Consider the following 17,680-nt stretch of genomic DNA (forward strand, 5'->3'; position numbering starts at 1 on the left):
GCTTTGTCCTGAGATTCATCTGGTTTAGGTCATGAAAAAAATAGTTTCTTACCTAAATGCTTTTGTAAGAATGCTAATGAAGCTTTGTTGCTAAGATCAATAGCTACATTTGAATCTATGTCTCCCTTTAATTTGAGCATGTGTCCAATTATTTTGCCAGTTGCAAAAGTGAAGTCAGCAAAATTCTGGTGGACTGAACCCCTAAAAGAGAACAAGACATTTAAAAGTCACATTGTTTGATAAAATTATTATTTTTTTAGTTAGAGTGTAAGAAAGGTACTGGTCTTGTTGGTCTGTTTACTGAAAACCAAAGAAGAAATAAAACTTGTAATTTGATCTACTTAGATGTGTTTCAAGGGTCACAGGCTGTTTGTTTAGGGATCCCAGAGTATATTCTTCTTCCCTCTAGAAATACAACTCAAAGAATCTTGTTCTTGCTTGGTATCTTGATTTTAGAAGAAATGATTCTTGCTTTTTAGTGAATTGGAATACTTCCAGTTTGAATACTGGAATGTGTTCTGTATTGAAGGGTCCCTGAACTCAGAGCCAGAGCCTGCTACCTGCCCTCACCACTGAACGTGGTATGTATTTGATGCTAGTCACTTTAAATTTAAATCACTTTAGATTTAAGCCTTAGAGGAAACAGATTTCAAACACCACTTTTCCCAGTATTAAACTGTAAGCACTTTATAAATATCATTTGCACTGCTCTGTAAATTCATCAATAGCCTAACGTCAAATAGAATGGCCTTTTTTAAGTCCTCGTTTTCTACCACCACTGGGACATTTGACACTTGATGGCCTTCTTGCACTTTTTTTCTTTACGTTTCCTTAACATTGCACCTTCCCTTCTGACGCTAACCACTCTATGTTCTTCACTGGCTCTTCACCCATTTCCCATTGGCTGAATGTAGGCATTCCTTAGGATTCTACTGGCAGACCAACTCTTTTCTCACTTTGCAATCTCTTCTACTTCAAATGTTTCATCTGTGTTATCATGTAAATTATGTAATCATCCAATGTGTGGCCAGACATCTGTGTACAGATTCCTCAGTTCTCAAGCTAAGAAATTGTGAAGTTAAAAGACATCTTCCCAGTCCTGCCCAAAGCTGCTCTGCCTCTTGACTCTGCTGGTTCTTATAAGCAACCCATCATTCTTTTAGTCATCTAAGCTCAAAACAGGGCCACTTAACTCCCTCTCACTCTTCCCCACATTGTAGTAGGAAACTTGAATGTCAGAAACATAAAGAAGATAAACAGCAGGAATACAAGAGAATTGCGAGCAGAAGCTTGGATGATCTGACTGTAGAGAACTGCCAGAGGAGAAGAAATGGAAGGAGTGGTATAAATGACAGGAGAAGCAGCAAAGAGGTGGGTCATAGTAGCCAAGGGAGCAGGAAGAGGGGTGGTCAGCAATGTTGAACAGATGCAGAGAGCAAGGTTGAGACTCTGAAGAGGCTGCTGGTGTGGCAGGCAGCAGGCCTTTAGTGTCTTTGTTTTGGCATGCCCGTGGGGGCCCAGGAAGCTAGACCACAAGAGTCAAAGAGTGAATAGAAGTAAGCACATGCAATGACTAATATTGGCTATTCTTTGAAGGTTTCTAGCAGAGAAGGGACAAAAGCAAAGGTGAGAGCTTAGTAAGGAAATAGGGTTGAGGGAAGGTTAGGTGTTCTGTATTATTTCCGTTTTAGAATTAGAAAGAGTTGCACATACACATAAGCTAAATGAAGTCCTTGCCTGAAATACCTAAACCCTTCCTTACTATCTAAACTCTCTTGATCTTACAAAATCCAATTTTAGTGTCATCTATGAATCCTTTTCTGTTGGAAGAGACCCCTCTATTCTCTGAGCCCATAGTGTTTATTGCCTATACTCCATATATTTCCTTCCTGCCTCTTCTCTTCTCCTAAATAAACCAGATTTCAGATAGGAAAGGGGTGAGTTCAGGTCCATCTTTGCTTTGTAATATCTCATCGAGAGTTCAAAACCTTATCAGGAGTTCTTTTTCACCTCCAGGATACAAGAATTGCCAACACGTCATGGTACCCCATTATAGCTTTGGGGAATTTATAAACTCATATTCTTTCTCAACAGGTTAGTATATTGCAGGTCTCAGTCGATAATCTGACTTTTTCTTTAAAGAGTTCCTACCCCAGCCTAATGATGGAATACTTCCCCCTAGCTCTACCCCCAAAAATCTGTAGGCATATTCTGGTGTTTAGATTGAAGTAGCATGTAGTATAATGCTAATTTTAATTACCAGTGATATAGTTTGGATCTGTGTCCCCACCAAATCACATGTCAAATTGGAATCCCCAGTGTCAGAGGCAGGGACTGGTGGGAGGTGATTGGATCATGGGAGCAGTTTCTCATGGTTTCACACCATCCCCCTTGGTGCTGTCATTGTGACAGTGAATTCTTGTGAGACCTGGTTATTTAAAAGTGTGTAGTACCTTCACCCATCCCTCTCTTCCTCCGGCTCTGGCCATGTGAAGTGCTCATGCCCCGGTTGCCTTCCACCATAATTGTAAGTTTCCTGAGGCCTCCCCAGAAGCCGAGCAGATGCCAGCATCATGCTTCCTGTACAGGCTGCAGAACTGTGAGCCAATGAAACCTCTTTTCTTTATAAATTACCCAGTCTCAGGTATTTCCATATAGCAATGCAAGAACAGACTAATATAACCAGTATATATACTATATACGTTAACATTCCCATTTTAAAAAGAGTAAGACTAAATGTACTTAGAAACTGAGATTATCTAATTCTCTCCTTATTGAAAGTCTAAACAACCAATTCAGCAATTCTTTAATAGTTACCAAATGATATCGATTGATATTTACCCAAGCTTCAAGTTTGTTTCACATAATGAAATAAGTCACTAATACTTACCTGATTGTAATCATCTTTCTTTCTTTATCAGGTGAGTAGCATTTTTTCATTTTTATGATATTAGCAGGATATTGGAAATATTCAGAGTTGATAAAAAAGAGGGGCTGAGGAATTCTGGAATATACTTCATCACCCAGTGGAAACATCCATGCATCCAGGGCAATACCACATCTGTAGATATTTGTTGACAATGATGAAATTAAACTGGTTACATACTAGCCAACATTGAGGACATCCTAATAATGCTAGGATTGGTGGACACGCACCATACCAGTTTATTATGGGTTATCTCATTGGAATAAAGAGGTATCATACTTCAATGTGGGAAAGGGATATGATTAACTTTGTAAAGTAGCAGACCTGGAATTTTATATAATCATTTTCTTTATATGCCTTTAGGAATTGCAACCATTTGAGTGATATATCCTTAAAACTTTTTATTCAAAATAAATTTTAGAATACATAATAATTTCTTCAACACTGTGGAGTATCTGAAAAAGTATAATAAATACACCTTTGTTTTCAGAGCTTTTATGCACCTTGTAGTGTATTTATTATAGCTTTATTAGAGTAACAATTGGGCCCATTACTTTATATTTAGAGGCACTTCAGCTGAAAAACTGTCTGAGGGTTGAAGAAAAACATATGGAGCATATCATTTGAAGATGAAACTAACTTCCTTTTTAAAAGTAAGTTTATCCTATGTTTCCTGATCTTTTGGTAAATGGATCAAAGAAGAGAATTCTTACACTGAAATGGACTTTTAAGAAATTTGAGGTGAAGTTTCAAAAATGATCCTGCCCACTCTCTGTACGGTTGGTTCTATGTGATCTCATCAGTCTGGAATGAAGGTTTAAGAAAGAAAATGTTCCTGCAAGCTAGAAAACTGGGGTCTTGTCCCAACTCTTACCCAAATAATTGTAATTTTAGATCCAGCTCCATCTTAAAGGTGGAAGGGGGAAAAACCTAATTAAAAAATGTCCTGCCCACTGGAGAAGTCTGGCAATACTGTTAAGATGACAATATTATTATCACAATCATTATGTCACAAAAAATTATATAAAGATAAATTTTTCAGTGAAAAGTGTTAACCCCTTGGGTAAACAAGAATAATGAGGGAAAACTTATGGGAGTAGGGGGAGATTTTAATAGCAGGAGAGGTAGATGTTTTAGCCTAGGAAAATGTATATAGAGTATTTTATGGGGGCAAAAGAATAGCCTTATAAACTCCAAGAGATCCCTTCTTCACTAAGAATTTGAATAAAAAATTATATCTCACAATATAATTTCTTCCAATAATTTACTATTCTCTTGCTTTACTATCTTATTTTCTTACCTGAATCTCTGATCTTCACTAAGAGTCTGAATAACCGTTGCTCCACCAAAAGAATGTCCAATTACTGCTATTTTTTCCCTATCAATAGAGTCCTATTTGAAAAAGCATGATATAAATTTATAGCTATTTCGTGGTGTTAGAAGAAATGATTTTGTCAATCATATAATTGTTCATTTCATGGGGATGGTTAAATACATTGATTTCTTATAAAATAGAATATACATATACACACATACATTTATACATACCATACACACATATACATCTATATACACATATAAAACACATTTACACATATATATAACATATGTAAAGGTTTGAAAGTAAACTTAATGTTCTTTGTAGTCACCCACACTGGAAACTTCAACATCAGTTCTGACTTCTGCCTCTCCTCACCCCATGTTTATTTGTTTGTTCATTCCATGAGTATTTATTGAGTACCTACTCTGTGCCAGGTACTGCAGTCTCATTTCAGTGAGTTTGCAGTCCATCAGGGAAGAAAGTTATACAGAGGCATGATGCAATACAGTACAGTGGTACAAAGGAGCACACATGACAGACAGCGAGCCCAGTCCAGAAGTGGGTATTGGGGTCCAAGAAAGCTTCTTAGAGGAGGTGATGCTCAACTGGAGTCTTGAAATTAGGTAGGAGTTAGGCAAGGGGAAGGGTGTGTCAGGCCAAGGGGACAACATGTACAAAGGCAAGGATACAGAAGAGAGTGGCTGCTTGAGGGATAACAAATTTCTTCATTGTATCTGGAGAACAGACCATCATCTTATTCTCTAGTTCCCCCTAATCCCTGCACTTCACATGCCACACACACTTTTGAGTCTTTGTTCATGCTGCCCACTCTGTCTGATATTTTTCCACCCGCTCCCAAACTTGTGTCAAGTTTTCAAGATCAAGCTTAAAAACATGCAGGAGCTGTCCATGAAATAATAATACTTCCACAGGAGTTGAGTTGAACCATATGACATTGCTGTTTTTGTAGATCAAAACTGACTAACTTTTGGCAATTTCATATCTAGTCCAAGATAATGCATTCTTCATTGCTGCAATACTTTACCTGTACTGCTTTGTGTGTCTGTGTGTGCGCATTGGGGAGGGGGCTGGTTGCAGCCCTTTATCATATTGTACCTTGCAATATAGCAGAAAATTAAATGACAAAAAACAATAAAGAACTGTAGGACAAGAGAAAAATTACTTTTTATAGCTTACCTTCAGTTGTTCCATATCAAACTTTAAATCTAATGCATTCTTCACTGGCTTTCCATGATCAATGTCAAGAATCAGACTGAGAGCTTGGGAACATTCTTTTGCTCTTTGCCGTACCTAATATAATTATTAGAAGAAGGAAATGACAAAGTAAAAAGTTATAACACTTATTTTAAAGTTTAGGTAGAAGCTGTATTTGGGAAAAATCGTTGGTCAGTTATAAACTGGAAATCTGATTAGTGACTATTACTTGCTACCATAATGACACAGGCCCCAGCTTTGCACATAGGTATAGCTTAGTCCAAATCCTGGCTCTGTTGCTTACCTACTATGTGACTTCAGACGATTTACTTAACCTCTCTGAGTTTCCATTGATTGTATAATAATTCCTACCTAAAGGAAATGTGGGTGGACTCAAACATAATAACACATGTAAAACACCCACTATAAAGAGGAAGCCAATATGCTTCACTTAACTTAACTGCCCTAATAGCTCTGTAAGACAAATAATGTTTCTATTCATTATTCTATAACAAAATTAAGTGGTGGAGCCAGGATTCAAACATAGAAAGTTGGGTTCTAAGGCCCATACTCTTAATTCTATTGTATACTGCCTCTCTGAAAAGTAGTCTTTTTATATTGTCTGTGAGGAAGAATCTATTAATTTATTTTCTAGCACTTTTTAGATTCTAAAATTAGAAGTTTTAATTCAAGGGAATTCTGAATATTCACTGTCATCTCCCAAATTTTTGTATTTGCCTTTGTTTTTACTATGAACTAGATATTCCATTAAGGGAATTTTACTGCTCCAGGAATCTATTGACAGATCTTTTGGGAATGGGAAATAGGAGAGCTAGGAGCATAACTTGCCAGGTGTAAAATTAAATTAACAAATGTCATCCTTTTGTACATGCTTTTAGGTCACCAACCACCTCTCCTTTCACTGCAATGTACCTGCTCATTTCGTATATGTGTCTCCTCCTCTTGTTTCAGGGTTCTAAGGTAGAGCCAAGACTTGTCCCCTATTTCTGCAGCAGATTGGTCCTTGAAATAGTAAGTTGCAGATGCAGATCTATCTCTATAATACAAGCAAAATTATTATTTATGCATGCTCCTTCCCTTCCTCATCTGACCCATGTTTCTCAGTTCCATCCTTGACTCAACTTCCTCTGATCTTTTGACTTCCCTTTCTTCTTCCACTCTATATTTTCTCTTAAATTAAAGAAGACTGTAAAAGAGTTCCAGGAAAAAAACCTTATTGTCTATCATCAAGTTGCAGGTAAACTCAATCCATTCTATCTTCCTAATTCTGGGAGGCAATGTTAGCCATGTTGAAACTCAGTCTCAGGAATCAAATCCCGGCACTGCCACTTACTAGTTGTGTGACTTTGGGCAAATTACCCTTTATCACCTCTATATTCCTCTTCCTTAAAACAACAACAATAATAATAATAACCATCTCATAGGATTGTTATGAAGACTGAATGAAATGGCGTATTAAAAACATTTCGCATAGGACATGGCAGGCAATAAACACTCTAGAAATGTTAGGTGCTTTTAAGTCTTTTAAGTCGATAAACTCAATCTCCTTTTTTGCTCATGATGTTACCATACTTGAAAGTTCCATCAACATTTTAAATAAACTTTTATGAAAATTAGAAACATAGTTATGAGCATTGACATTCCCTGTAGTTGGCCAAAGAGCCCAATTATATCAGGTAACATACCTGTGTTCTACAGCAGCAACTATAAACCCATGAGATGCCAGGTCAATGCCAATAGCAGAATAAAGTGTCCTTCAAAACAAAAAGAGGGAAGAATTACAACTACCAGTCATGATTACAAGGCTGAGTCCACTAATAAAACTGGGAACATGGAGGCCATTACACCCCTGTAGTAGTGCCCTGGGGTGGAGTGGAGAGCTACGGTTCTTAAAGGAGGGTGATTTTGTTCCTTAGGGGATATTTGACAATGTCTGGAGGTATTTTCATTATCATGAATGTGGGCGAGGGTATTTCTGGTGTCTAGTGGGTAAAGGGATGCTGTCAAGCATCCTACAATGCACAGGGCAACCCTTCACAACAAGAGATTATCTGGTCCAAAATGTCAAGACTACTAAAGTTGAGAAAACCCAGGGCAGTGATTATAAATATTGCCTTTGAGAGTTTTGGGTTTTTAATCTTGGCTCTGCCACTTCCCAGCTATATGATTTTAGGTAATTACTGCATTTTTGTCCTCACCTGTAAAATGGGCCTAAGAGTAAAGCATTTGTTTTAGGGTAGTTGTAAGGTTTTGCTAAGATAATGTATATAGGAAAGCAGTACAGTATTGTAGTTACAAGAATGAGACCTGCAGTCTGACCACTGAGTTTGAACCCTGGTTCTACCACTTGTTAGCTGTGTACCTTTAATAAGTCACAATATTTTTGCTGCCTTGGTTCCTTATCTATAAAATGGTGACACTATAATAGTATGCTACCTCATCAGTGAGGATCAATTGAATTAATACATTTTCAGTACTTATATTAGAAACAGGTAAATACTTAACACATGTTAGCTATTATTTAAATGATTGGACTGGGTGAAATAGTTGAAAAATCATGTGCTAAGCACTGCATTTATGCCCTCTTCCACAGCTTCATTTGCACAACCTTTTCCTCATACCATGCATTCAATAGGAAATGTCCACAGAGAATAAAAAGGAGGTAGCTAGAAACTATTTATTTATTGCTGAAGATACAGGACCTTTTCAAGAGGGGGGAATGATATAGCACAGGGATTAGCAAACTTTTTCTGTTGAAGGCCAGAGAGTAAATATTTCCAGGTTTGTGGGCCATAGTCTTTGTCACCACTACTGAACTCTGCTGTTGTAGGACAAAAGTAGCCATAGACAGTGTACAAAAATGAATGGGTGTGGCTGTGTTCTAATAAAACTTTATAGAAATAGGCAGTGGGCTGGATTTGGCCCTTGGGTTCTAATTTGCCAGTCACTAATGTAGGAGAAATCAAATAGCTAGCTGAACTACATTTACAGTGCTGAAGAGAATTCTTTATTGCAAGTGCTACCCAACTTCTTCCCAGCTAAAAGCCATCTCTCTTATTTTCTGAGTTTTACAATCCCTTGAAGTAGAAGAGGGGTGACAGGTGAGAAAGTGGTGGAAGAAAGTGAAGAGGGTGGTTGTTGTTATGAAAATGTGCCACTCAGCTATCATGCTACAGACTGCATAGCTTACTAAAGACCCTATCCAGCTCCTGCCCCTCTGTATCCATCACCATGGTCAAGTGGAAGCTAAGCATCCAGTGAGCTGCTCCCAGAGACTTGGCACAGCATGGGTACTAACATTAGCCCATTCCTATGAGATACAGGACTCTTGATAAGCAAATATAGTCCAGCACTCCTTCCATTGGCCTGGCTCAATATTTCTTAGAACCATGCTTCATTCTGAAGCTCTTCTTATCCAATCCTTCTCCCTTCCCCATCACCTTTTCAGGTGTCCAACCTGTGTCATGGTCCAAAGGTTCTCCCCATCTTTTCCTGCTCCTTCTCTTGCCTTCACAGATATTTCTCTTAATAACAGTCTTTCCCAGCTAATCTAAAATTGGTTTCTCAAAAGTTCTAAACTTTACAGAGGATAATTTTAAGAGTGTAAATATTACAATAATGAAGGACAACTATAGAAAATGCAACACCCTTTCTTCTCTGCTGTGAGGCTAATCCCAATGAGCTGATAGTAGGGAAAAAACTACTTGACCAGACAGGTCTAGGACTGATCAATAGACCCACAGCCAATTATTGAGGAAACCCAACTCCTCCAGACAAGGGCCTGCATGACATTCCAAACTCTGCTATTTCTTTCTTGAATAAAAAAATTGTCATTTATTCCTGGAAGCCAAAATTGTTCAACCTCTCAAACATTACCTGAATGCCCCAAGACCATGAGAAAAAACAACAAGTGGATATTTTTCACCAGGCCTCAGAGGGGAATTCCAGTTTGCAGGAGTTGTCATTGAACCTAGACAACAATGGAAGGTTATAGTTAAGGTTTTCTCTGAGTGTTGCTAGTGAATTTAATTCATATCTCATTAGCATAAAATGCAGACCCATCTGATTTATATCTACTTTTTTATGGATGAATAGTAGATTCATTAAAAAGACTGCTACTAGATACCCACCAACCAAAGAGCTGAACTGTAAGTTTTTTTTTTTTTTTTGAGATGGAGTTTTGCTCTTGTTGCCCAGGCTGGAGTGCAATGGCACAATCTCGGCTCACTGCAAACTCTGCCTCCCGGGTTCAAGCGATTCTCCTGCCTCAGCCTCCCGATTAGCTGAGATTACAAGCATGCGCCACCACGCCTGGCTAATTTTATATTTTTAGTAGAGATGGGGTTTCTCCATGTTGGTCAGGCTGGTCGTGAACTCCCGACCTCAGGTGATCCACCTGCCTCAGCCTCCCAAAGTGCTGGGATTACAGGCGTGAGCCACCGCACCCGGCGTAAGTTCTTTCCTCAGACCATAGGATCATTAACGATGAGTTCTTACTGACAGCTCTGGACTTAAGGTGAGAGATTTTCCCACTTATAGGTGTATTCATAAAGGCTGCTACTTACTGCCATTCCCAGGTTTTGGAAAAATTTTAAAGGGAATGTTCTGAAACCAAACTACCCATAAAACCTTGGATACATTACACTAAGAGCCAGAATCTAAGAAACAGAGACTCTGTTCATTATGATTTGGTCATAATCATGCAGGAAAAGGTAGAGAAACCACTGACTTCATACTGAGTCATGGATGCAGCTCTGCCACTTCCTAACTATGGATCTTGGGCAAGTTCCTTAAACTTTCTGTACTTCAGATTCCTCTTCTGTAAACTTCAGAAAATGATATCTCTTTCATAGGGTTTTTGTGAGAATTTTATTTAATTAGGTAATATATGTAAAGCAGTGGTGCAATCCATCACATAGTAAGGGGCTCAAAAAATGGAAATATTGTCTTCTTTCACTTCTCAATTTTTATTGTCACCATTATTATCAGCAATCATTTGTGTTTCATTTTCTCATCTATAAAATGCAGATGCAGTCATAAAGACTGAATGTGATGATTGCTATGGAAGTGATTTATAAATTATTTTGCAACATAAATATGCAGAGTTATGCTATTTTCATGTCTGTTATAAGTGGTTTTTAAGAAAATTAAAAGCCGATGTTTAAGATGAATCCCAAAATTTGTAGATCGTTTTGAGGGGTAAATGTGAAGACACAGTTAACATCAGTCCAACAGTAGTGTCTAGTCAAACAGATAAGGAAGGAAAAGTCTATATTAGCAGAATGTAGACAGTAAGTGAAGAATACACATCAGATTGTCTTAGCGATGGGGGTAGGTGATGGGAATGAGAGTAGAGTCTCTTCATGTATGACAAGAAAGGCATTAGCTTTGACTCCTTTGTTTTGGATCTGGAGAGTTTGATGGCTTCTACTTTCTTTCTCTTTTTGTCTAACTTTAGCACAGAGCATGCGGGATAGTGGCCACACCAAATAACCTGCTATTCTCACCACGGTATTGCCTTCTCCATGGTATGTCAGATGAAAACTAAAGAGCAGCCACAGAAAGATGTCAGAGTCAGTCTGATACTCTCGGCCACTCCCATCCAACTCAGAATGGACAAAATGAGAACCTTGATTCTGTCGTAGTTGCCTGGGCTTTAAAGAAATACTTTCCTTATCATTTTAGGAGCTATTTGGACTGAAGAAAAATCTACTTTGGTCTTAACTACTTGAAGTTCTTGTTGTTTTCAAGGTTTTCATACATGCAAGAGCCTACAAAGAAGGATCAACAGAAATCTTACCAAAGAGTAACCTCAAAATGTTGCCCATAAGCCAGTGTGTTCCAAGAAATTTGCTAAGACCCCAAAAATATTCTTTATTTGGGATCCAAAGGGTGTCAAGGCGATCATTATCTTGGGATGGATAATATAAACGCAAGAAGGTGCCCTGTTAAGAAAGAAATTAATGCACTTTTAGAGAAGTTGTGTCTCAAACATATTCCAGCAGCTATTTTGCATATTTAATTAGTGGGGACTCAAATACCTCTGTGTTCACAAAAAGGTCTAAAGAACTTTTTAGGCTGCTGTGGTGATTGAAGATAGTCATGAAAGAGAAACAGAAAAACAATATTCTATCTCAGTGAAAGGAAAATACAAGCAGCCTGGCTTCAGGTATTAAGGAAGTGAAAAATAAGGTTTATAGAGAAATTAATCAGACAATAACAAAGAATTGAGGAATGGCCAAACTAGTAAAAGCCTTCATATGAAACAATACAAATTGCAAAATGAGTCATTCTCAGGTGAGGGCAAGGTCACATTTGAACACCTTCTAGTGGTCCATAGCGACAGACAATATTAGAGTATCAGGATAAGTTGTATAAATCAAAGCATTACCTTATTAGTGTGATCAAACATTAAGTCTGTACAACCAACGGAATAAGGCCCATTTCCCCGGGGGATTTTAGTTTGGCCAAAGCTTGCAGCAGCCATCAGTACTTGTATTTTGTTGACCCATGCTGAAAAACAGGTAAATATTATCTCATTTGTCATCCATTACATATCAGATTTTATTATGCAAAAGAATTCCAACGGAATCAAGTTACTTCCCATAGTTTCTGGCCTTCTTTCTTTCTCAACCTAACAAGTAAGATATGCAATTATTGAGGGTCTGCTCTGTTTGAAACACTGTGTAGGGGTTTTGGAGGGTAAAGAGATGAAAGTAGACATAGCCTTTCTCTCAAGCTGCCTTGGACTGTTACCTCCTAATGTTTGCAGCCTTGCCCTCTCATTCTACTTCTATCCAGAGTAAATTAAAGATGACTTCACAAATCTGTTTTTCCTAAACATGAACTTTATTTCACATTTCAGATTTGTGCCTATAACTTCTCCTTGAGCATCTCTACCTGATGTCCTTCCCATAAGAATGTCAAAATGAAACTAGTTTCCAAAATGAAACTAAATGATCATCTTTCAACTCTCCCTTCTCACTTTCCAACCACACAGCCTGCAACTCAAGAACTCCTCATCTCCTGCACCACAAGCCAGAAACCTGGGAATCATCCTATTCTCCTACCTCTTTCTCACCAACCACCCTACATTCAACGGAGCCTCTATTTTCTTTCTTTTTTCTTTTTCTTTTTTTTTTTTTTTGAGACAGAGTCTCACCGTGTTGCCAGGCTGGAGTGCAGTGGTGCAATCTTGGCTCACTGCAACCTCCGACTCCCTGGTTCAAGTGATTCTCCTGCCTCAGCCTCCTGAGTAGCTGGGATTACAGGTGTAGGCATGTGCCACCATGCCCAGCTAATTTTTGTATTTTTAGTAGAGACGGGGTTTCACCACGTTGGCCAGAATGGTCTTGATCTCCTGACCTCGTGATCCGCCCACCTCAGCCTCCCAAAGTGCTGGGTTTACAGGCGTGAACCACCACGCCCAGCCCCAAACCTCTATTGCTAACATTAGTTTTTAGCTTAGAATGATCTCCACAATATATCGCTGACCCTCTAGCTCAACTGTCTCATTTATGCCCTCACTGTCTCTTGACCAGACTGTTGCTCTCTCTCCTAACTGTTCTACCCACGTTGGATCTTGACCCCTTCAAATGCATCCTTTACACAGCTCCTGGAGGGATTTAAAGCACAAATCACACCAGACAATTCTTAAAATCCTTCAATGCCTCCCTATCAGCAAGTGTTCTTTCCTTGAAGGAGGAATGTATTGTAATCTTTTTGGAAGGCAGTTTGTAGGAGGAATTTAAATCTACACATGCTTTCCTAAGCCAATACTCTGCTACTTGCAAAAATGTGGCCTATCCTTCCAGTGCTCTGGGGTTGAAACATACTGAGGTTCACAGGTGCACAAGTTAAATCCCAAGTTTCTGGGCACTGCAAAGAAACCCTCCACTGGAGGCCCATTGCCTCATACTCTTCCTCTTCTTCTTCCCCTTAAGTTATACCCCTTCCTTGTGCTACAGTACTCCTGAGCAACACACTGGGCTGGTTGATGCCACTGCACCTTTGTAAATGCTACTGCCTATGCTTAAATCCCCTTAGCAAACTCCCATTCACACTTTAATACCTTGGTCAGATGTCCTGTCTTCTCTGAAACCTTCCCTGATTTCCCAGACAGACTTAATCATTTCATCCTCAATATTACATAGATTCTATGTGCATGTGTGTATACACACATGTAATCATTCTTCCTGTCACATATTAAACTTATGTGTCTGCATGCTACACTAGGCTCTTTCTTCAGAGCCATATCCATGTCTTTGCATCCTCTTAACACAGTGTCTGGCACATAGTCAATGCTCAACAAATACTTGTGAAAATAAGCTCAGTTAACTTGAATGGCCACTGGTCTCTCTTGTTTTCCTTTAAACCCTTTATCACATGCAGTATTTTACTCATCCACTCCTAAAACTACTTTTCTCTCTCTGGTGCAATCTTCCACACACCAGCAGCTTCATCCGTTCTCCTTTCTAAACCTCAATCAAATCCATATTTAATTACAAAATATCAGTGTATTCAGACTCTCACTTTTCTTGACATATTCAGCTTGTCCACCCATTCCTTCCATTGGATGGTGGGAGTTGATTACTCTCTGCTAGCCAGCTATCAAGAGCTATGTTAGATAAAGCGTCTGCATCAATACCATGGAACATTGCCCAGAAAAGTTTTGAGTCATGGGAAGAAACCAATTTACAGCCTCCACACTGGTGACTCATGTGTGAAACACCTGCCCATGATGAAGCCTTTCAATACATAAGGCTCAGCTACTCAAAGCTGATCCATGGACCAGCATCACTGGCACCAGCTGGAGCTTGGAAATGCAGGCTCCTGGACTTCACCACAATTCCACTCAATCAGAAAAGGAGTGCCCATTAAAGTTTAAGAGACACTGGGCTGAAGTTCCAGACCACCTGCCTGACACACAGGTCAGCAATCCATGGTCAAATGGTAGGAGGTAGTTTCAAGAAAGGCAAGGGGAGAGGGGATGGAGATGAACAAACCCTGTGAATTGGAGGGACATGGTTCTATTTCAGATTTCAGGTGTACCTCTTACAAGCTATAATCCTCTGGCCTAGTTGCTCCCCTCTCTGATCCACATTCGTAAAATGACATAAAAGCACTTGACCAGCCCACAGTACAGTTGTAAAGATGAGGTGAGAATGTAGGTCAAGTTCTTAGTACAAAACATGACACATAAGGGGTAGACAAATAATGCTGTTTACTCCTTCCCCAGAGTCCATTTACTCTTGCTAGGTAAATCTGTGCTGAGTCCTTAGGGAAGTTTTAGCAGGTCTAACCTCTCCCCAGGTAGATTCAAACCCCAGAAACTTTTTTTTTAAACTTTACCTGCAAGGTGAACTTTCAGGGTCTATTTTGAATTACAAAAGGCTCTTCTTCCATTAAAAGAGTATCTACTGAGCCATGCTTCTGGTGTAACAGGGAGATGTGAAGTCCCAAGGAGGAGGACCTTAAGGTAGGGACACCTGCTTCTTCTTCTGTGGTAAGCAGCCTGGTGCTACTGCAACCCCACCCCTAGGCAGGCATGGTGTGCCTGTGCAGGGCTTGCTGCAGGGAGACCTCTGGCTCACACAACTCGCTAAGGAGCCCCAGGGCCACAGCTGCTGTTGGAGACACTACCTCTAGAATTGGAGGCTCAGTTCTGGAGGCATGGGAGGGTTTCACCCAACACAAGCCTCCGCTTGTGAGATCTCAATTCCAAAGGACAGGGGAACATTTTCCAATAAGTTAGGAGTGCCCTGGTTGTCCAACACCTGTTCTCCCTGGGAAGTTTCCTCACTCAGCATTCAGGAGCATTCAGGTCAAGGTGAGGTCTGCCTGTTCCAGGACACCTGACCTCTGAGAAGACCTCAGGAATCATCAGGCTGATCCAGGTTTTGGTATAGGTCTATGGGGTCCTATGCACCAGTGCCAGGGTGCCTGGGGGTGGCTGTGGAACAGGCTCCATAGCCTACAGCTGACCCGGTTATGGGCCTGGATTTCCCATTCTCTAACCATCTGTCAGGAGTCATCATTAAGGAAGTGGAAGGAGGAGACTCATCAGATCAAATGACCACTCACACAGTTTTGTGGTTCAGAATTTATAAATGTCTCTTCTTAGTTTTCTTCAACTTTATTTTAATAGGAGGATTGGAACCTATGGCATGCTATTAATTTTATTACATATTTTTGGTGGTTTTCATTTGTCAAATATTCCTGATGTTCAGTCTTGGGTTTGGAGATGAACTGTATACATGCTAGGACAATTACACTCTTATATGGCTTTATGTCCTCCATTAGTAAAGAGGATATCTCTAGCCCATTCCTACAAACCTTTTAACCTGCATAGCCATATTTTCTGTGTATTCATTTAGTAAGAAATTATAAAGAATCACCTATTATTTTAATCTTATTTAATAAACTGTTTCTAATACTTTAAACCAATATATATGCATTCTTTTTTTGTTTGTTTTGAGACAGAGTCTCGCTCTGTAGCCCAGGCTGGAGTGCAGTGGTGCAATCTCAGCTTACTGCAACCTCCTTCTTCTGGGTTCAAGCAATTCTCCTGCCTCAGTCTCCCAAGTAGCTAGGACTACAGGTGTGCACCACCACACCCAGCTAATTTTATGTATTTTTTTTTTTAATATAGACGGGGTTTCACCATGTTGGCCAGGCTGGTCTCGAACTCCTGACCTCAAGTGATCCACCCACCTCGGCCTCCCAAAGTGCTCAGATTACAGGCACGAGCCACCATGCCCGGCCTGCATTCATTTTTGAACATTTAGAATGGGCATTGCATTGGGCTCAATGCTGGGACTATAAAGATAAAGCAACGTCCCTGTCCTCAAGTTTCTGTCAGTCCAGCAACAGCCTTCCAATTATTTTTAAAGACAAAGGGATTTTAAAAATGTTTAAATTTTTACCCTGTACCAATTAAAAGTGAAGGATATAAATGTTTCCCGAATGATGATTTTCCCACCATCTAAGATATTACCTGTTCTCAATCCATGAAAAAGGTAGTAGGAAAAATGAACTTAATGTCATCTAGGATGCAGGACCCTTGAATTTGACTACACATTTATTGTCTTAGTCACCAGTGTATCCTTGATGACTTAACTTCCTGATGCGTTATAGGATGAATGGACCTGTGAGATATTATTCTATTTCCTATGCAAATGTAGATATAAGATATAAAACCTCTCCTAATGCATTCATTTTCCTGCTTATGTAGTAGGGCAAAATTTAAGGTACTGAATTATGAAAGCTCTTTTGCAAATGCTATCGTAAGGAGTCACCCATCAAGCTTGAACAATTAGATCCAGAGTGACCCACAACTATCCAGGTGCACAGCTCTGTAGGTATAGTCAGTATGACACCATTCAGAAGCCACCTACACTGCTCTCCATAGGAGACTGGAAAGAGAAGTTTATGCATCACAATCCTCTGGGATGAGCAGGAATTTGCAAAGCTCCAGAAACAATCTTTTTCCAATTAAGGTCTCTCTTAGTGACATTAAATGTAGCCGTCTAAAGATGGCTGTCCCGTTTTGGCCACTCCTCCTGGGTTAGTCTATGCCTTCCACCTCTTTCTTTCCCCACTTACCACAAGGCAAGAAAGAATGAGTGATCACATCCATTCTCATCTGGAACTCCCTAGCACCTACTTGTCCCTACTTCTCTCTATTATCAGGTAGGAAAGATTGTTTCCTTTTGGATCCCAAGACCTGAAATTGTTATCTCACATGACTTTCCACTATTAACCAGGAGTATGCCTGTTGAACAAGACACCTGCTTCTTTTTCACCTCATGGAAGCAGGTTTTGAGGCTGTCTTGGAGTGGACTCCAGACCAGTTGCATTACTATGCTTGTGTGGGCATGCGTTAGGGCAGTCAGAGAGAGAAGGGGTGGCATTAAGGAGGTTCTCCGTGGTGATTGCAAGCTGAGCGTCCAGTATATCTTAAAATGTCCCATCCTGGTTCTGTCCTGCAGTCCTGATACTGAAGAACACAAGTGCTTCTTCAATTTCAGTTGAAATGAGGAAAAAGTGAGAACCTCTCCCCTACTCCAGGAGAATACAGGATCTCCATAAGCCTTTAAATAGGACTTGTTTAGATGTGCAGATGTGCAACTTCTTGGGGCCCACTTGAAGTATGGCGACAGATCAGTTGCTCAAGACCTTGAACAAATACACCTCTT

At 39.7% G+C, this 17,680-nt stretch overlaps 1 protein-coding gene across 5 annotated transcripts in view; it reads right to left on the reverse strand.

The window, feature by feature from the left end:
* Positions 1 to 17,680, reverse strand: part of PLA2G7 (phospholipase A2 group VII) — a 31,521-nt gene that overhangs the window by 900 nt on the left and 12,941 nt on the right. For 4 of the 5 annotated variants that reach the window (XM_047419359.1, XM_005249408.5, NM_001168357.2 and 1 more), the window contains 9 exons: positions 11,875 to 11,996; positions 11,284 to 11,428; positions 9,360 to 9,453; positions 7,169 to 7,237; positions 6,396 to 6,519; positions 5,445 to 5,558; positions 4,227 to 4,318; positions 2,891 to 3,061; positions 53 to 201 (listed from right to left, as the gene is read on the reverse strand). In XM_047419359.1, coding sequence (XP_047275315.1) covers positions 53 to 201; positions 2,891 to 3,061; positions 4,227 to 4,318; positions 5,445 to 5,558; positions 6,396 to 6,519; positions 7,169 to 7,237; positions 9,360 to 9,453; positions 11,284 to 11,428; positions 11,875 to 11,970 — 1,054 coding nt within the window. In that variant the 5' untranslated portion in view covers positions 11,971 to 11,996. Of the gene's footprint in view, positions 1 to 52; positions 202 to 2,890; positions 3,062 to 4,226; positions 4,319 to 5,444; positions 5,559 to 6,395; positions 6,520 to 7,168; positions 7,238 to 9,359; positions 9,454 to 11,283; positions 11,429 to 11,874; positions 11,997 to 17,680 lie in introns of those variants that run through there. The other variant, XM_047419360.1, reaches the window with a different exon arrangement.

Source organism: Homo sapiens, chromosome 6, assembly GCF_000001405.40.
Source record: "Homo sapiens chromosome 6, GRCh38.p14 Primary Assembly".
NCBI classification, from domain to species: Eukaryota; Metazoa; Chordata; class Mammalia; order Primates; family Hominidae; genus Homo; species Homo sapiens.